At 47.6% G+C, this 19,589-nt stretch overlaps 2 protein-coding genes, 1 long non-coding RNA gene and 1 pseudogene across 13 annotated transcripts in view; 2 read left to right on the top strand and 2 right to left on the bottom strand.

The window, feature by feature from the left end:
* Nucleotides 1-8,142, top strand: part of RAD51L3-RFFL (RAD51L3-RFFL readthrough) — a 112,411-nt gene extending 104,269 nt beyond the window's left edge. Inside the window, exons 6-7 of the long non-coding RNA NR_037714.1 lie at nt 674-884; nt 5,105-8,142. This is a non-coding gene — a long non-coding RNA (RAD51L3-RFFL readthrough). The remainder of the gene's footprint in view (nt 1-673; nt 885-5,104) is intronic.
* RFFL (ring finger and FYVE like domain containing E3 ubiquitin protein ligase) overlaps nt 1-11,264 on the top strand; it is an 83,237-nt gene extending 71,973 nt beyond the window's left edge. For both annotated transcript variants that reach the window (NR_037713.2, NM_001017368.2), the window contains exons 5-7: nt 674-884; nt 2,491-2,514; nt 5,105-11,264. Coding sequence is in view for 1 of the 2 variants with exons in the window: in NM_001017368.2 (NP_001017368.1) it covers nt 674-884; nt 2,491-2,514; nt 5,105-5,286 (417 nt within the window). In the remaining variant the exon portion in view is untranslated. The remainder of the gene's footprint in view (nt 1-673; nt 885-2,490; nt 2,515-5,104) is intronic.
* Nucleotides 6,382-19,589, bottom strand: part of LIG3 (DNA ligase 3) — a 30,361-nt gene continuing 17,153 nt past the window's right edge. For 4 of the 10 annotated variants that reach the window (NM_013975.4, XM_047435972.1, XM_005257970.5 and 1 more), the window contains 9 exons: nt 19,429-19,516; nt 18,958-19,035; nt 18,527-18,650; nt 17,805-17,947; nt 17,398-17,472; nt 15,851-15,997; nt 15,150-15,345; nt 14,465-14,586; nt 7,511-12,981 (listed from right to left, as the gene is read on the bottom strand). In NM_013975.4, coding sequence (NP_039269.2) covers nt 12,748-12,981; nt 14,465-14,586; nt 15,150-15,345; nt 15,851-15,997; nt 17,398-17,472; nt 17,805-17,947; nt 18,527-18,650; nt 18,958-19,035; nt 19,429-19,516 — 1,207 coding nt within the window. In that variant the 3' untranslated portion in view covers nt 7,511-12,747. Of the gene's footprint in view, nt 12,982-14,100; nt 14,260-14,464; nt 14,587-15,149; nt 15,346-15,850; nt 15,998-17,397; nt 17,473-17,804; nt 17,948-18,526; nt 18,651-18,957; nt 19,036-19,428; nt 19,517-19,589 lie in introns of those variants that run through there. The other 6 variants (XM_047435969.1, XM_047435968.1, XM_047435970.1 and 3 more) reach the window with 3 other exon arrangements.
* Nucleotides 11,213-11,993, bottom strand: OSTCP7 (oligosaccharyltransferase complex subunit pseudogene 7; annotated as a pseudogene).

The following is a 19,589-nucleotide window of genomic DNA, read 5'->3' as shown; positions in this document are numbered from 1 at the left end:
AGGGCAGGCTTGTGGTCCTGCTGTTAAAGTCTTGTTCTTTCCTTGCTTCTAGCACACTGTAGCCATTGTCAAGGGAAGGAGGTCAGACAATTAGCCAGGCAGGGCCAGTCCAGAGCACAGACCAGGGAGCTGTGGCCAAGGTTGTGTATAGAGGAGTACTTGCCAGGGAAATGTGCCTCTTGTGGGCAAGCAGAAGTCTCCAGGGGAGAAGGGCCAGCACCATGCTGGGTTTCATGTGCGGCCATATTTAACCTCTACAGGACCCCTGTGGGGTAGGACTGCTCTCTCCCCTTAATGGAGGGGCAAACGGGCTCAGAGTGGTAAGCAACTTGCTGGATATTATTTAGCATTAACAGCAGAGGAGTCAAGATTCAAAATTAGGGTCATATGACTCAAACCAGCACTCCTTCTACTATACTTCTATCTAGTACTATATCACACTGATTGGTTGGTCTGTGTCTGTTTGCTCCTGAGCACAGAATCGTGGGTCAGGAAGAGATTCTAGTATATTTTGCAATGCAGAGCACCATGCCAGGTACTCATCCTGTCTCTGTTCCTACCCTTCATGAGGTCAGTCACCAAAATTATGATGTGGTGACTGCTTTGGGGTCCTTGGAGAAAGAGCTTGGGGAGGTAAGAGCTGAGCACACTGATCTCATCTTTGTCATTGCAGTCTATTGACTCAGAGGACAGCTTTGTCCCAGGCCGAAGGGCCTCTCTGTCTGACCTGACTGACCTGGAGGACATTGAAGGCCTGACAGTGCGGCAGCTGAAAGAGATCTTGGCTCGCAACTTTGTCAACTACAAGGGCTGCTGTGAGAAGTGGGAGCTGATGGAGAGAGTGACCCGGCTATACAAGGATCAGAAAGGACTCCAGCACCTGGGTGAGGGGCTATCTGCATGGTAGCTTTACAGAGCTCAGGAGTGTTTGCTGTCACTCCAAAGCATGATGGTATTGACCTGACTCAATTTCCACACTTAAGCCATGGAAGGAGACACCTTACATATTTGCACCGTCTAATAATAGCTGTCATTTGTGGTTGAGTGTCAAAACTAGATTAGGCATTGCATGTATGTATTTATTCCTTAGAGCAACCTATGAAATAGACATTATTAGCATCACCCCTTTATCTGAAAGGTAAAATTTAACTGAAAATTTTATGGTCTAAGTCCATAGCCTTTCTCACCATATGCTATCCCCTCCCTACTCACCACCACCTTGTAAGTTTTCTTACCTTAGAATAAGAATGCTTGTTCTGAAGATTTGGGAGGTAGAAAGTGAATCTACATACATGGCAGGAGAAGATAGCTGTTCCATCTGCACTTGGGCTCTTCCTTTTGTTCATTTCCCAGAGCATTTTACACTGTATCATTCAGGAGATGCCCAGGAAAATATCTGGGTCTGTGGTTAAATGAGTTTAGGGAAAAATACCTCATATCTTCATTACTGATTTATGGTAGATTTTTATATTAAAGGCAGAGAAGTCCTGCAGAAGAGAAATGTGTTTTGGCTGTTTTGAACTTAGCATTTCCTGAAATTATTTCACCACAGAATCTTCTCCTTTCCTCCCATCCCCAGTTGATTTGGTTCCTACAGAGCAACATACTGATTCCTTGCTTGGTAAGAGTGGTTGAAGTCAGGTTTCAGGCTCTCTTCTACCAGTAGCTCAAATTCATCAGTGTTAGGGGTCATCTGACTGACTCTTCACCCGATTACAGACTGAGGCCTACTGACATGGAGTCTGTTTTCCCTTTGGGATTGTTTCAAGAGTCTTCTCTCCAGTCGTCAGGACCTGGGGAACAGAACAGATGACTCCACGTGGGAACTTTATCCAGATTCTCTGACTGACTGAAACAGCTAGATAGTTCATTCTTTCTTGACTTTAATGCTGACTTCAAAATAGAAAAGGATATTGCACATATACAGTATCCTTCTACTTGGCAGTTTGTGCAAACTGGTGGAATACCTTTTCCTAAGAGTAGACCAGGCTGGGTGTGTTGGCTTATGCCTGTAATCCCAGCACTCTGGGAGGCTGAGGCAGGTGGATCACTTGAGATCAGGAGTTCAAGACCAGCATAGGCAACATGGTGAAACACCATCTCCACCAAAAACAAAAAATTAGCCGGGAGTGGTGGCATGTGCCTGTAGTCCCCAGGTACTCAGGAGGCCGAGGCAGGAGAATCGCTTGAACCCATGAGAAAGAGGTTGCAGTGAGCCAAGATCATGCCACTGCACTCCAGCCTGGGCAAGAGAGTGAGGCTCCATCTCAAAAAAATAAAAAATAAAAGTAGACCAGATGCACGAGTAGGAGCTTTGTGTGAGTTCTGAGCATGTAGAGCGAGTAGAGGGCAGATGTCCATCTAGGCTCTTGGCAAGCCTGGTTCCCAGCAGGGAGTGGTAAGAGTTCAGAAATGATGTCAGGGCAGTAAGAGACTGTATTTGTACCATCATGCCTTACCTATTCAGACATCCTTCTCTTTCCTTTTCAGTCAGTGGTGCCGAAGACCAAAACGGTATGTAGTTGTTTCTGTTTGGGAATGGGCTTAGGCCCTTTTGTCCTTCCCCTCCTTCAACCCCAATCCCTTTAGTAATCTAAGAATTCTGAGCATTTGAGCCCCCAGAGAGAGGGTGTGTGGGAAACTCACTGAGACCCAGGGGGCCTCTCACCATCTTTAGAAATTCTCTCTGCTCGCTGTGCAGGAAGCAGAGTGGAGCATACGTAGGGGCGGACTGACTGATGTGCATGTCCCTGGGCTACCTGAGCTCATAAGCCAACATTTGTAAAACACTGAAACAGAGGAGGGGTGGCATGTATCACACTCAGCTCATTTTTTAAAATCTTGGTGTTTTCAGTTCTGGTCTGGGTAGGGAGGGTCTCTGTGTACACCTTCTGGGGAATCAGGGTGTTTAGCAGCTTCTGGTACTAACCAAAAAGAAAGGGTGGTGACCTGAGACAGCCCTGTTTGTACAGGGCTGGTAATGGTTAGAGCTACTCTGGAGCTAACACATGTGCTACTCTCTGGGCACAAGCTATATATCTCAGCTCAGCTGCCACTCACTTAAAGACCACCACTGGGCCCTCAGGTACTCCCAGAACACACTGCAGAACTCCTGACCATCTGTGGGGACATTCTAAAATATGCTATGTGTTTTCAAAAGCCTCAAGGGTATATGGTTGTGAACTCCCTTCCAAGAGAGAACGTTCTAAGAGTAGTGTTGGACTAGCCTGCAGCATTTTAAAACTTATTTCAGAAGATTTCCCAAATTTATTTAGTAAAATGGCCTTTTGCTCAGAATGGGCAATTTTATGTCTGATTACTTCTAATCAGACATAAAAAACAGTTGAGCTTTTCTCAATTCCCCAAAACCATTTGGAGTTCTAGACCCACCTCCACCCTCCAACCCCCCAGCATCACCGGTACCAAGATCAGGCTGATCTACTTGGTGCTTCCTTTCTTTTTCTGATTCCCTGGGAGAATGCTGACAACTGAGTTAATGTGTTTGTTGTTACTTCTGAGAGAATGAGTAACTGAAAATTATAAATTATTCCCATTCATCTTAGGTATTTGTATAGTCTCCAAACCTCTGTTAGGACCAACAGCACCTCAAAAGAGGCAAATGGGTTTCACTCCCTTTCACACCCAGCCTACCTCCTAGGGGGAAGTATTTCTTGACTTTTTAATAGTCCAGAAAAGAGAAAGTATAGATGCAATAAGGGAGAATTCCTCTATGGGTTGGCCAACCCCCAGATGGTAGAGGTGACTTCTGTGAGATCAGTTCCTTTTTATGGGTACCTACTTCAGGCTACAATTTAAGACATATTGGAGATGGCTGGGCTTTTGAACATTATTTTTTCTGTTTGGGTCAGCTCTACTAGGATACTGGTCATGCCCACTATATTCTGCTAGTGACACAAGCCAGTTAGCATTTATTGAGAACCCTGTGCACTCAGCAGTTGATACTGTCTGGATAGTTTCTACTCTTAGGGCAGTTAGGCAGAAGGCCATTCTAGAGCAGGAGCTGTGGGGCCAGCCTGCCTGGGTTTGAATCCTGGCTCCTCGACTTAGCAGCTTTGTGCCCTTGGGCAAGCCACTTAACTTTTTTGCCCCAGTTGGCCTCATCTATAAAATGAAAATAACAAGAGGTCCTACTTTATAGTTTTTGTGAGGCTTCAGTGAGTTAACACATGCAAAGCTTTCAGGACCCTGCCTGGCACACGGTAAGCATTCAGTAAATGTGGGATGTTGTCATTCCCTTGGGAAGATGTTCATTCATCAGACATTTAGAGTACCTACCATATAACTGGCATTGGGGGCTTCAAAGATGAATATCTAACCTTGGAGCATGGAATAAATGCTAAGCATATAATTGTAAAAATTGATTGAATATGTTGAATTAAAGAGCTCATAGTCTACTCTGGGAGTAAGTAGGCAAACTCAAAATTTTAATCCAATGTGATAAGCAGTCATGGGGGTATAAAAAAGTTTTGTGGGGGTAGAAAGAGGGAGCAGTAATCTCTGCCAAGTTTCTCCACCAGGAAGTTTCCTCAGGAAACCTGGGAGTAGTTTGTGAGATAGCAGAGGGGTCCCCCATGATCCCTGACTTTATTAAATGGAGGATATGTTTATAGATAAAGCCTTGTGATCCTTAATGAACCATTCATCACAGTTCCATTTCTATCTAAACTTTTCTGAACCAGTTTTATCTTTTTAGCCTGTTCTGCCTCAGGGGATAATGAGTCCCTACGTGCCACTCACACACTCACTATATTACAGCCCCAACAGTCTGAAAATTATTTCTTTTAAGCTTTGAGAACTTTGCCTTAGTTCTCATGTTCTGGGATGTGTCTGATCCACAAGTGCTGTGTACTTTTCAAATCTTTACCTGTTGGAGGGGATGAAGTGTGGATTAAACAAGTAACCAGAGTTGGTTATTGAGGAAATGTTTCCTCGGAGGAGCTCTATTTGAGGGAAGCATGTGCACTGAGACTTTGTTTACAATGTACCTGTTATCTCCCACCTCCCTCCCCCAGTCACCCCTATACACTTAAGACATTCTCCTCACTCCTCTGCCCCTTTTTTTCTGCCCTGTGTGTTTGTACAGGGGGAGCAGTACCATCAGGCTTGGAGGAGAACCTGTGTAAGATCTGCATGGACTCACCCATTGACTGTGTTCTTCTGGAGTGTGGCCACATGGTAACCTGTACCAAGTGTGGCAAGCGCATGAATGAATGTCCCATCTGCCGGCAGTATGTAATCCGAGCTGTGCATGTCTTCCGGTCCTGAGAGCTTGCATCGGTTTCTTCAGTGCCTTACAGGGAAATAGCCTGGGGTGTCTGGGCTCAGGGTTGGCCAGCTTGCAGAGGAGCAAGCTAGTAGAAATATTGCAGGGTTCCCAAAACCAGGTCAAGCAAGATGCCATGTCACCCCTGAGCATGCCTGTCTTCCCAGGGGTGTACCTCTTGGCTGGCAAAGCCCAAGGCCAGTGGGAACTTGTATAAATCACATGGGTATGTTCTTGGTTCAGTGATCTTGGAGTGATGATGGTAACTGATGAACAGAGAACTTTCCAGAACTTGGGTCCTGTCTTCCTCCCTGAACCTAGACAGTTTCACCCCTCCTCCTGTACCCAACCCATCCCCACCCCATATGGGAGATGCTTGCCCATGTGTTTCATCAATCAGAAGTCCTCCTCCCCAGCACATTCGGATTTAAATTTCTGGTCTCTCCGGCTTTCTGTGCTTTAACTATCTTTGCTAAAGTCTCTTGCTACATTGCCTAAATCCATTTGTTTCTTTGGACCAAAAATGTTAGTTTACCAGACCGATAGTGGTCCTTAGGACAGATTTTAGACCAGTAAACTTATCTTTGGTGAGAAATGAAATACAAATGCTATAGAAAAATTTCAAAGTTGTTAAAAGCCACTTCATTAAATGCTGGGATTGGAAGCTGTTGGTCTCCTGACCTGACTCTGGGAGCCAACAAAACATCAGGCTCCCAAACTGCTGGGAAATTTGTTTCTGTCTGCAAGGGATAGTGCGTGCATAATCCCTGCTGCTGCTTCTCTTGGGACCTGATTTGCACCATCCTTAGTTTATGCGGAAAGGGGAAGCAATGGGTGGAGGCAGTGGCCTTCTCCTTAATTTTGGCTTGGCTTCTGATCCTTTTCCCAACTAGAAGTCTTAAGCCACTTTTCGCTGAAAATGAAATCCCTCCCTTATCCATGGTAGTTTTAAATTTGGTTTCATTGAAGAAATAGATTTAGGCAAAGAGCCTGTGCTCTTCTCTGGCCAGACTGCTGTTGAAGTTCCTGGAGAGCAAATGTTAAGACAGAGCACTTAAGAGCTTTCAGGAGGTACTGAATGAGACTGGATTCTGTTGTAAGCCGACAGTTCAAGTCTTTATTTCCCAGGTTGGTGGGGAGTGAGGAGACCCTACTTTCATTCCCTTTCCTAGCCCACTGATTTTTGGGGGCAGGTCAGGGAGAAAGCATTTTTTTTTTTTTTTTGAGTCTCACTCTGTTGCCCAGGCTGGAGTGCAGTGGTACAGTCTTGGCTTACTGCAACCTCCACCTCCCAGGTTCAAGCTATTCTCCTGCCTTAGCCTCCAGAGTAGCTGGGATTATAGGCGCCCACCACCACACCAGGCTAATTTTTGTATTTTTAGTAGAGACGGGGTTTTACCATGTTCACCAGGCTGGTCTTGAACTCTTGACCTTATGATCCGCCCGCCTCAGCTTCCCAAAGTGCTGGGATTACAGGCGTGAGCCACCACACCCAGCAGGAGAAACCATTTTCTAGGCTCTTTAGGAAGGACCATGCAATGAGTAGGTGATGTATTTGAGCCCTCACAGTCTTTACACCCCTAGAGGAGCTGGAGGACTTAAGAGTTTGCTGCAGAAGCGTGGCCAAGCACAAAACACATGATCAGGAAAGCAGAGTGTTTTCCCATTACCAATGGATGAACTATGCAAACCCTAAACGCCTTGGCAGACACCTCCCACCCCTTACCCCTCCCATGCAGCTGAAAAATCTGAGACTAGAACCAATCATGACTCTGGATGGCAGAGGGAAACCTCTAAAGGGACTTATTACATTGGTACAGACATATTTATGCTTTCTTCCATCACCAACCACTAAACCCCTTTGGAGGAATGAAATAACTGCATAAACTAGTCAACTGAACACTGGGCCACTTACCTCAATGTTATACAAAGTCCTGGATGATTTGATTCTGAACCACAGCCTTTGCAGGAGTTGGGGGAATCAGATTTGCTCATGAAGACATCCCTTTCCACTTTTGTCATGGGCAGTAAATACTATAGTTTACAATGCCTACCAATTAGCAAAGGATCATTCATTCAGCTACTCAGTTCCTCTGTAAAACAGGTCTATGTATGTGCAATTCAGCTAAGATCTAGCAGTAACTTAAGGGCAGAAGCTGGCTCTCTACTTACAACCTGCTTTCTCTGCTGAAGCCTTACCTCCTCTTCAGTTTCCCTCCTAGACACAAATCGAAAATAATATACTGATAGCTGGTTAGTAACCTCAGTAAGAATTAAAACTGAGGTTGTTTACTCATTTTGCCTTTAAATCTTTTATCCCCTTTTGGTGAAGGTTTCCCTTTAGGAAAAAAGGTGTCAAACAACCCTGATTTTTTTTTTTTTTGCATCATTTTTATTACACCAAATTAAAGTTGGGAGTTCCAAGATCCCATTCCAGTTAATATTTAACCAAGGTCTAAAATTTGATTTTTTTTAAATCTTTGAATCCTCCCTTCTGCCCCTCATGGATCCTTGGTTTTAATGATATGGAAACATCTAATTCTTAGAATTATTCCGTAGCTTTTGCTGATTACTCTGAGATTTCAGTTAAGACTTGTTTCAAAAGACAGATAGCTGACTGGTTCATAATACATTGGAATAGTTGGATCCAAACTAATAAGAATAAGCTGTACAGGAACTAGTGCTCAATATACATTGTATAAATTTGTGGAAATCTCTTGGATGTGAATTGTTACTTCAAGTGGCTTTTATTAAGATTTTCTCAGACTTACTTGGAGGTTAAAGCAAACCCAAATGTGTATTATTTTGTTACAGAGCTCTGCTTTATAATTTTGTAATAAAGTTTCAATACAGACACCTGTCCTGTCTGGTGCGAGGATGTTAGAGGTTGATAGGACTGACAAAAGAGCCTGACAGTGGTTCATGCTATAATTTCCACACTTTAGGAGGCCAAGGTGGGAAGACTGCTTGAGCTCAGGAGTTTGAGACCAACCTGGGCAATGTAGTGAGACCTTGTCTCTACTTAAAAAAACAAACAAGGGCCGGGTGCGGTGGCTCACGCCTGTAATCCCAGCACTTTGGGAGGCTGAGGCGGGCAGATCACGAGGTCAGGAGATCGAGACCACCCTGGCTAACACGGTGAAACCCCGTCTCTACTAAAAATACAAAAAATTAGCCAGGCGTGGTGGCGGGTGCCTGTAGTCCCAGCTACTCGGGAGGCTGAGGCAGGAGAATGGTGTGAACCCGGGAGGCGGAGCTTGCAGTGAGCCAAGATTGCGCCACTGCAGTCCGGCCTGGGCGAAAGAGCGAGACTCTGTCTCAAAAAACAAAACAAAAAAAAACACAAACAAAAAACCCAAAAAAACCAAAAAATTAGCCGTGCATGGTGGTGCATGTGGGTAGTCCCAACTACTTGGAAGGCTGAGGTGGGAGGATCACTTGAGCCAGGAGATTGAAGCTGCAGTGAGCTCTGATCGCCACCGCACTCCAGCCAGGGTGACAGAGTGAGACCCTGTATTAAAAAAAAAAAAAAATTGACAACTGATAAACCACAAGCTAATCCTGGGATGTGCACATGGCCTGGGATTAGCCTGTGGTTGGGCCAAGTGACCTTGGTCAAGATGCTCAGTGTTGTTGTAACTAACTAACTTGCTCAAGACCACAAATGTAATATATGGAAGAGGCCATGGAACAACCTAGAAGAGAATGAGAGCTGGGTAGGTAAAGGATGAATCCCAAGACCAATTGGGTTGAAGCACCAAGTGAGTTCAGATATTTACACTGATCTAGAAGAGATGGGCCTTAAAGAACTGAAATCTGAGGACAGTTAGTATGCCCAGTTAGGTCTTCAGGTTACCCTGGGAGATACATGGTACCTTTTGGATACAGCTGTAGTACAGCTGGACTATGGCTCAGAAAAGGTTGGCCCAGGCTGGGCGCCATGGCTCACGCCTGTAATCCCAGCACTTTGGGAGGCTGAGGTGCGTGGATGACTCGAGGCCAGGAGTTTGAGACCAGTCTGGACAACATGGCGAAACGTGGTCTCTACTAAAAATACAAAAACTTAGCTGCGAGTGATGGTGTGTGCCTGTTTGTTAAGTCTTAGCCACTTGGGAGGCTGAGGCATGAGAATTGCTTGTGAACCCGGGAAGCAGAGGTTGCAGTGAGCTGAGATTGCACCACTGCACTCCAGCCTGAATGACAGAGCAAGAGTCTGTTTAAAAAAAAAAAAAAGGTTGGCCCAGCCTCGTGACAGACTGCTGTGTGTGCGCAGGCTTGTACAAACCTCCCTGACCAGGCGCCCAAGGAGCAGGGAAAAGACTACTGAGAATGCAGCCCCTGGGAGAACAAGATTATGTGTCCATCTGCTGTGACTGAGAAGAGAAAGGAATCTTGCCAAAAGGGCATAAAGGATCGAGGATGAGCCACAACACTTTGCTCACATTGCCCTAGGGAGCTGACCTGTTCAGCACCCAGTGATGACCTCTGCTTGATGCCAGCCAGCAGCATGTAGAGGTTCAGAAGAGGGAGGCCTCCAGCATTCTGCTGGAGAGATTTATGATGATGATGTTGAGGGCTGCATTGAAATACATGAAAGAAATACATGAAAGGATACAAAATAGTATATACAGTCAGATCTCAGCAGCAAAGACTGGAAGAAAATACATAAAAAACCACTGACATTGAAATGGCAATAACACACACTAAGGCAGAGAAGGGACAAGATGATCACCTGCAGCCAGCAGAGGCCCTTTCCTGTGAGTGTGCACTCTGGGTGTAAGCAACCAATAAGGGCAAGTGGGGCTGGGTCCAGGTTGGAGAGGACAGTGCCTTTGGCAGGATCCTGAGGAGACAGCCTTGTTCTGCTGCCCTGTCCGGTTGTTTGTTTGGCCTGAGGCTGAAGAGAGAAATGGAAATCTATGTAGGTCAGTACTCAAAGGAGGAGCAGCTTTTTGTCTCCATAGAGGATGGAATAAAAAGTATCTTATTCCTAATACTGAAGCAAGGCTGAATGGTGCCTATTCAAAAACACCAAATGTCCTGGGCTAGAGTCAGGAAAGTAAACCCCTCCCCCGTGCTGTCCCTACTCCCCCAACATACACATTTTAAACAGTAGGTGGAAGCCAAAGTCAATCAGATCAAAGTTGGGGGGGGGCGGTGGGGTGGCCAGGGGGCGCAGTGGTCCTTGATCTTATAGGTCCAGAGCCTGTTAATTTGTTCATAAGGTGAGAACTGACCCTCAAGAGCTGGAAGGATTGGGACATGGCAGCCAGTTTACAACCATATGGTGTCCTGATGAGCCTGCACTCAGAGTGGAGTGTTGGCTGGAACATGCACACCTGCAACTGAGGGTTCTAAAGTCATAGGTTAGGCCCTTCTCCCGGGTAGGGTCTGGACATGCACACCAGGAGTGACGTTCCCAACTCTAGATAACTATGTGCTAGGCTCTGGGCTAAGTGCTTTACATAATGTTGCTCAGGACAACAGGACAACCCTATGATTTAGGTGCACCCATTCTACTTGGAGGGATTGAGGCTTAGATGTTAACGTAACTTGCCTAAGGTTAGAGCCATTAAGTTTCAGGAGTCTGATCTGAACTCCGTCTACACCTGCACTGTCCAGTGTGGTAGTCACTAGTGACATGTGACCATTTGAAGTTGAATTAAAATAAGAACTTCAGTTCCTTAGTTGTGCCAGCTTCATTTCAATTGCTCAGCAGCTGTCTGTGGCTAGTTTGGTTGGATACTGCAGATTTATGGATATTTCCACTGCTGCAAAAAGTTCTATTGAATAGCACTTGTCTACACTAAATTGTCTCTCTTCCTTTTGTTCTTCAAATAAATCAGCCTCAGGTAGCACAGGAGCTGTTCTTTGTAAGCAGGTTGTATGGATCTGTTCTCAGGTGTGGATTTTTATTTTTTTCCCTGCAGATATGGAGTATATTTTCTTTAAGAAATTAAAAACTAAGAAGAAAATGCCACTCAACATTGTTGGTATTATCAATAGGTCAGCAGGAAAAAAAAAAATACTGTGATAAACTTGTCTCTCTGATACCAAGAAGAAATTCTAGTCCGAGCTTCAATATGCTTCCTGTTTTTTTCGCTAGGTATTTCTTTTACTGCTGCTCTTCATTCTTTCCCACATTTCATATTGGAGGATTGGTACAGCCTTTAGAACTTCATTGACAGGAGCAAATCCAGTATCCACTGATTTCTTCTTAAAGGCGCTCTAACCCATCAGATAGCCCGGCAGTTTCATTCACATGAATACTCCAGCCATGAAAAAACTCAGTAGGACACAGACGAATCCAATGAATAGAAGAAAAAAAATCGATTGAGTTTTGGGATATTTGGTGCATTCGACTGGTCCAGCATTATGAAACCTAAACCTCCCATTGTAAACAGGAAGCTGGATGCAAATCCTTCCATAATATACTGTCCATTTACTTTGTAGGCCAAGAAAGCTACTGGCCTCTGATGCCCACGTTCATCAGCCAATACTTGGGGGTTCAACAATATCATATAATTATTCCTCCAGTCATGAGGAAGTAAGACACCACCACCAGAGCATACACAGTCATGGCTGATGGCATGTGCAGCCAGGGTGGCTTCTTCAACTTCAGGTTGGAACACTCGAGCACTAAGAATGGGATATGGTACAAAGTCTCCATGTTGGTGGCAACAAGGGCTGTTCTTGGCCTCAAGCCCCATGTGGATTTTTATTCTTAAAGAACAGTCTTGTTTCCAGGTTTTGGGGATGCAGATCTTCCTGGAGCCCTCTATCCCTCCAGAGGAGTGGCCCAAATAACCTCCCCTTTCTTCATAAAGGCCCCATTTTCCTACCTGACCCTAGTCCCCTCCCTTCAAACTGGGGATCCTCACCATGTAATAGGAGAACACAGAGAAGAAAGTAAAAAAATTCATTTTGTTTTCTTTCACATGAGGTTTGTTCCTGGCAAAGCGTGTCAGGCTGAATACAAGTTCCGCTAAACAGAAGCATTTCCGAGGGCAGTCCTTTAAATACAACTTTAAAATGAGCCTGGAAGTACAAAGGAACAGGCAAGGATGGGAGAGAAGGCTTTGTGGACAGAGCTGCCATAGCCCAGCCTTTACTCCTTAATCTCTAGGGAAATTATTGGGGGTGTAGGTGGGGAAAGGACAAAGATAACTGCAAGATATTTTATTTATAAAAAGGGTAACTAAGCTGCTTTTCAAAGAAAACAAAAAGATGGCAAACCCAGCACCCAGCTCTGAAAGATCTATTTAAACCAGCAAGACAAACTGACTTCAGCTGTGGCACCCACAGCAACTAATTCCTGGTCCAGAAGAGACAGTGGAGAACTGGTGGGTTTGGGAGAAGCAAGCCCATTCCCCCTATACTGTGTCTATCTGCCTCCAGCCTGAGTCCAGTCCAGTAGTATGGTAAAGGAGAGTATGGCCTGAGGGAGAGGGAAGACAGCAAACCTAGCAGGGAGCTACCAGTCTCCGTTTCCGGATACATGCCCAAATCCACTCTGGGGAGACCTGCTGGGCCGCAGGGTTCTTGTCCCTGCTACCCAGCACGTGCGTGGCTGAAGTCATATCAAATTCCTGTACCAGGTCCCCGTCGAATGCCACAAAGTAGCGTCTGAGACGGCTGAAGTCTGGTGTGGAGGGTGGCAAGTAAAGCCGCACCCCAGTGAAGATGTCCAGCAATACCTGCAAATGCAGAGGGGTCAGGGTGGGGTCAGACCTACACTGGGTACAGATGGGTCTTCACCCAAATGAGCACGGGACAGAATGAGGGAGCCTAGAGTTAGGACACAAGCAGAGAAGTTTACTGGAATACCATGCATCAATACCCCCACCCCTCCAGTCACTCCAAATTATACAGGACTGACACGCCCCTCCATCCCTGCCTAGGGGAAAAGGAGAGTGGACAGGCCTCGACATCTGGGACCTGGAGATGGGAAGAGTACATGTGTATAAGAGCCACCCAGTCATGGTGGGCAGGCGGAGCTGGCTCTGACTCAGTGCCCCCAGACTCAGTGATGTCCCCTGAGACCAAGCAGTCTACTCTGTACAACCTGCTAGACTGAGGGGTCAGGAGTCCTGCTTACTACTCTCAATGGGTTCAAGGACTTCAGGCTGGGAAGAGAGAGGGGAAAGGTTTCTACAGGTCTGTTGGGGACCGAGTTCAGGCCTTGTGCTGTGAGACTTCTATGCTTACTCCTGGATGGCGGTGGGGAGCGTGGGGGCGCAATGACATGGGTGTCAATCATATGTTTACTTCTCTATCTGTCCTTTGAGGCATCAGCTCCCCCAGAGTTGAGCCAGTACTAAACCTAGTTCTTGGCATCAGAAAGTGCTCAAAAGAGGCCGGGTATGGTGGCTCAGGCCTGTAATCCCAGCACTTTGGGAGACCAAGGCAGGCGGATCACTTGAGGTCAGGACTTTGGGACCAGCCTGACCAACATGGTGAAATCCCGTCTCTACTAAAAATACAAAAATTAGCCGGGCATGGTGGCACATGCCTATACTCCCAGCTACTCGGGAGGCTGAAGCCGGAGAATCGCTTGAACCTGGGAGGCGGAGGTTGCAGTGAGCGGAGGTTGCAGTGCGCTGTGATTGCACCACTTCACTCCAGCCTAGGCAACAGAGCGAGACTTATCTCAAAAAAAAAAAGAATTGCTCAGGAGATGTTGCCAAACCCAAGACTGACAAGAAAATGTAACAGGGAAAAGGCTCCTCAGGTGGGAGGAGAGTCACCAAGCCAGTGCCCTCTCCCCGACTCGCTGCTTGCTGGACCTGCTTCCACCCTGACCACAAACTCAATGCTGCATTCCCACACCCAGACTGGTCTTTTCCCTTTAATGTAAATTTTGACTTGGGGCCAGCAGCTGAGTGAGTCCCTGCAGTCTCTCCTGGCTAGGCCGGGCTGTTCTATCTCCTGCCTGCTGGCACAGTTCTTCCTCTCTGCTCACTGGCTGGCCGCCTCTGCAAGGCAACAAGAGGACATAGGGTGAGCAGCAGCATTGCTGACCCTGCCCACGACAGAGGAGTGGCTGCAGGCAGGGAAGAGGTTTAGCCGATGTTCCCCAAACACCTTTGCTCATCCTCTTTCAAACTTCTTGTACAGAAGGTTGGGAACACAACCTGGGCTAAACTGGCCCACGTGGTGTGTTGCTGTTTTTACCCTCACCTTTGTTTGGCACAGCGTCTCATCAGCAGCTTTCCGCTTCTCCCCTACTTTCACTGGAGAAGACTTTGTGGCCAGCTTCTCCCCCACCTTCATAGCGGAAGGCTTTGCAGTCTGCATGTTGCCTGCAGGACAGAGAGGAAGCTGGGTGTGGTGGTGCACACCTATAGTCCCAGCTACTCGGGAGGATCAATTCAACTCAGGAGTTCGAGGCTGCAGTGAGCTATGGTCGTGCCACTGCACTCCAGCCTGGATGACAGAGTGAGACCCTGTCTCTAAAAAACATATGATACAAAAGAACTAAGAGGGTAGGGATTGCTGATAATGCTCCCTGAAGTCAGGGGCAGTAATGGGAAGGACCAGGGGCTTTCTCTGCTATGAGCATAGGTGAGAGGGGAGTGAAGAGTTATCAGCTAAGCCCTTTACTCAAAGGTAGCTTATTCCCTGGTCAGACTGGCTGTCCCCAGGGTACTGCTCCATTCAGGTTTGCTGAGCAGATACAGGGTGCCCAGCAGAAGGGTCTCTGGCCCATGGCTGGACACACACCAGGAATGTAGTCTGTGTCCACTGCAGTGGACACAGATAATCATGAGATCTCAGGGCTGGAATGTGAGACTGGGTCCCTGCCCTTGGATCTCTGCCCCTCACACCGCCCTCTTCACCATACCAGCCCCCTCCCTATCCTTACCATCTTTGCTGTTGGAGTTACTCAGCTTCCCTTCTGCTTTCTTGGTACTGGCTGAGGGCTTGCTGGGGGCCTTGCGGGACACAGCAGACCCTGAGGGACCCTTATTCTCTTCACTGCTACCCCCTGTAGTGGAGCTCCCCTCATCTCCAGCCACTACAGTGAAGTCTGCCTTCTCCTTGGACAACTGGTACAGTTCCTGAGGCGGGGAGGGACAATGTCAGAGGGTTTCATTGCCTTCCCAGTCTGGCCTCAGAGGTGGTGTGTGTGGTGTATTTTAGGCGCATATGGGAACAAAGATGTGAGAAAGATAAAGAGCAAGGAAAAGGAGTTGGCTCCCTTGGCACCATTCCAAAGTATGGCCCTATAGCCTGAGTAATCAGGGTACAAATCATTGTTCTCTGTACAGCAAAGCAGGCTTTGCTGGGGCAACAGGAGCAAACTCTTATTCCCCAGACTAAAGGCTGCTCAGTGGGGCCTTGCAAATGCAAGGTTCTCTACTCAGAGATGGAGGGAGAAGGAGGTCTAGTGCTGTGCCCCTGGCCCAGCAGCAGTTTGTCTCCCTCTCTAATTGCCCTCCTTGCTCTGCCTCAGGAGAATGGGGGAAAGGAGAAGACAGAGGACATGTGAATGGTCTAGATGCCCAAGGCTCCAAGGCCTGGACAGTGGGGTGGAGAATACATATACAGCCTAAGAGCTGCTACCTTGAGTTGGGGAAGGTTAGTGGCAGATTTCCAGTCCTTATCATCTCGGATTCGGGTGCAGCGAGGGAATCGGATGGAGATCCCGTCAGCTGTATGAGCCTCCGATTTGGAGAATTCAGCCCCTGTGATCTCCCACACGGCAGCTTTCTGTCAGGAGTAAGCCAGCAGGTCATCACTGGTTAAGAAGATAGTATCAGTGGCCGGGCGTGGTGGCTCAAGCCTGTAATCCCAGCACTTAGGAAGGCTGAGGTGGGCAGATTACTTGAGGTCAGGAGTTTGAGACCAGCCTGGCCAACATGACGCAACCCCGTCTCTACAAAAAATAACAAAAATTAGCCAGGCACGGTGGTGCACGCCTGTAGTCCCAGCTACTCAGAAGGCTGAGGTATGAGAATCGCTTGAACCCAGGAGGCAGAGGTTGCAGTGAGCTGAGATCATGCCACTGCTCTCCAGAACGAGACTGTCTCAAAAAAAGGGAGAAGCAAGTATTGGCCAGGCGCGGTGGCTTGCATCTGTAATCCCAGCACTTTGGGAGGCCAAGGCAGGTGGATCACCTGAGGTCAGGAGTTTGAGACCAGCCTGGCCAACATGGTAAAACCCTATCTCTACTAAAAATGCAAAAATTAGCTGGGGGTGGTGGCACCCCTGTAATCCCAGCTACTTGGGAGACTGAGGTGAGAGAACTGCTTGAACCCAGGAGGCGGAGGCTGCAGTGAGATGAGATCATGCCACTGCACTCCAGCCTGGACAACAGAGTGAGACCCTGTCTCAAAAAAAAAAAAAAAAAAAAAAAAAGTATCTCCCAACCAGCTAGAAGCAATACAGAACAATTAAAACCAAAAAGGCGGCTGGGTGCAGTGGCTCACGCCTGTAATCCCAGCACCCTGGGAGACTGAGGCGGGCAGGTCACCTGAGGTCAAGAGTTCAAGACCAGCCTGACCAACATGGAGAAACCACATCTCTACTAAAAATACAAAATTAGCTGGCCACGGTGGCACATGCCTGTAATCCCAGCTACCTGGGAGGCTGAAGCAGGAGAATCACTTGAACCCGGGAGGCGGAGGTTGTGGTGAGCTGAGATCCCGCTATTGCACTCCAGCCTGGGCAACAAGAGTGAAACTCCGTCTCAAAAACAAAACAAAACAAAAACCAAAAAAGCTTTGGCTAACAGCTGGGAAACTTGGGTCCTAGTTCTGCTGCTGCTGTTGCTGAATAACCTTAGGGAAGTCCTGTTTGTTCTCTAGATCTCTTTCTTGGTCGGTACAAGAAGGGATTGGGCCAGATTACTTCTAGAACACACCCTTTGTGCTGAGGGGATAGGTACTCTCTTCTTCTCTCTCTTTTTTTAAAGCAATTGTATTGCAGAAAGAATTCTATTCAAAATTCCTCAGAGTTGTCTGGTTGTCCCTGTGCCTATCACTCAGCTGGAAATCCAGACCCCTATCCCTGGGTGGACTTTCAGCGAGGTGAGATGGATTCTCTATGGCACTAGAGAACCTGCAAGCTAATTCTATGAGCTGGAGGCCCCCAAGCCACTGGGTTGATACCTTTGGGTCTGGGACGATGAAGTCAGGATAGTAGATCTTGTTGACCTTCAACCAGCTGGGTATTTTGCTGGGGTCCTAGAGGAGAAAAGATGCTACTTTGGGCTGTTCCCAACCTGGAACAAGGCTTAAATCCCTTCTCTTGGTAATGAGATTATAAGAAGCCACTTAAACAGCTGATGTTTGAGCCATGTGATCCTCCCAGCCCAGAGTGGGTATGACCTAGAGGCATGCAAGCCATTTTCCACAAGAAGGCATTCAGAGATTATAAGGCCTAATCCTGCTCCCCTGAGCAAGCTGCAACCCTTCTTTCTGGGGAGACAGAAATACCTGTAGTCCCCAAAGCACAGCCTCTGTCTCAGTGATGGCGGCCAGTCCAGAGGCCATGGCCAACCAGGTCCCTTCCTCACCTTGCTGATCTTCACCATGTCTAGTTCATTCTGCAGGCGGGCAAGCGTGGCATCATCATGGCCTCCTGCACACTTGGTGACTGTGCACCACTTCTGGCTGCCAGGGTCGTAGCAGCCCATGAGGAAGATTGACATCATGCCGCCTGGGAGGGGAGTGTGAGATGAGTGTGGGTTGGAGGAGCCATCTCTGCCAGTCCCAAGAGCCCAGGGCCAGGGAGAGGACCTTGGGTCCTGGCCGTCAGAGTGCCAGAGTTTACCTCTTGGAGCTACCTCTTACTAACTGTGTAATTTTAACCTTTATAAGCCCCAATTTCCTCTTCTGTAAATGAGGGATAATCACACCCAACCTGTTGGGCTCTGGGGCATTGAACTGTGTTGGACACATGATAGATTGCTTAAAAGTATTAGTTCCTCAGACTCCAGCTTCCTTTCCAGTCAGGAAAGAGATTTTGCCTGAGGAGAAAGCTGTCAGGCCCTGACGAAATAATTGGTGGTAAGCGTCCTTCTGCTAGGCTAGCATAGGGTACTCTATTCTGACTTCTCCCTAACCGAGTAAGCAGCTCTGCCTGAGGTGACTCAGGCCAGCTTGGGGCCCTAGATCCTAGGACTTCGGAAGTCATAACTGGCCATGCTGGCAGATCAAGCCAGTAACAAGGCCAGCCTGTACCTCAAGCGGTACCTTCTAAAACAGTACCACCCCAGGGGGCAGAGGCCACCCTGACCTTTGCTCCCTTGCCCATAGAAGGCTCCAAGGACCACCAGGTCAGCTGTGTCGGCCATGGCCCCCTCGTTCAAATAGTCTTTCTTCACTTTCAGCCAGTGCCGCTTCCCAGGCTCATATGTACCCTGAAGGGAAGCAAAAGAGAGACCACAGAATAGAAAGGCAACTCCATGAGGATGGGTTCACCCCTTCACTGCTACACACCAGATCTAGCCCAGTGCCCCTCCCTCAGGGTAAGAGCCCTCAGGCTCCAGGCACTATAGGAGACACACAAAGCAGTCCTCCAGATCCAGGACACATCTGCCCACACTTCCCCAGCAGCCACCCCAACCACTGCAGGCTGCCACCGCCATCTCCTGGTCAGGGCTGGAAAGGCTCAGGGGAGAGGGCTGCGAGTGAGTCGACAGGAGAAGCCAAGCGAGGCCACTTTACCTTCACATCCTTCAGCACCAGCCCCTCCAATCCCTCCTGGATCACCCGGGTTATCATGTCAGCCAAGTCCAAAGCTTTCTGAGGGACAAGAGAGATGCTGAAGTTGGTGTGAGAGTGGAGAAGGTGGTGAGTGAGTGGGGGTTGTTCCTTTTCACACACTAGTTAAGTGTCCACTGGAAACACCCTTACTTGAAATATAAGGGACAAAGGGTTAGAAAGCAGGTTGCTTCTCATCCCAAACAGAGGGCTGCTGTGGCTTTGAAACACAGGAGGCTTACCTAGGAAGGATTTCCATGCCCTACCCTTCTGGGTGAAGACTAGCAGGCAACATATGCAATAGTCAAAGGCCAACATTATCAGGAGGCTCCATAAGACATTAAGATTTATTCTTCCAGTCGCAGTTGACCCAAGGAGTTCTCTGCCCTGCTTTCAAACTTCTAGGACACTGCCTAGCATAGGGTCTTCACTTACTGTGACTCGCTTCATTTCTGAGAACATGATCCGGTTTGGAATTTCAACCATGTTGTCATGAAGAAACTTCCGCCGCTCACACAGAGGTCTGAGGAGAACAGGAGAGCTGAGGTTAGGCCGGGATCCTCCCTCCCTTATTAGGAATTCTGAGGAAGGAAGGG

This window comes from Homo sapiens, chromosome 17 (genome assembly GCF_000001405.40).
Source record: "Homo sapiens chromosome 17, GRCh38.p14 Primary Assembly".
Classification (NCBI taxonomy): Eukaryota; Metazoa; Chordata; class Mammalia; order Primates; family Hominidae; genus Homo; species Homo sapiens.
The sequence above is the reverse complement of the archived record's forward strand: the minus strand, read 5'-3'. Positions and strand labels throughout refer to the sequence as shown.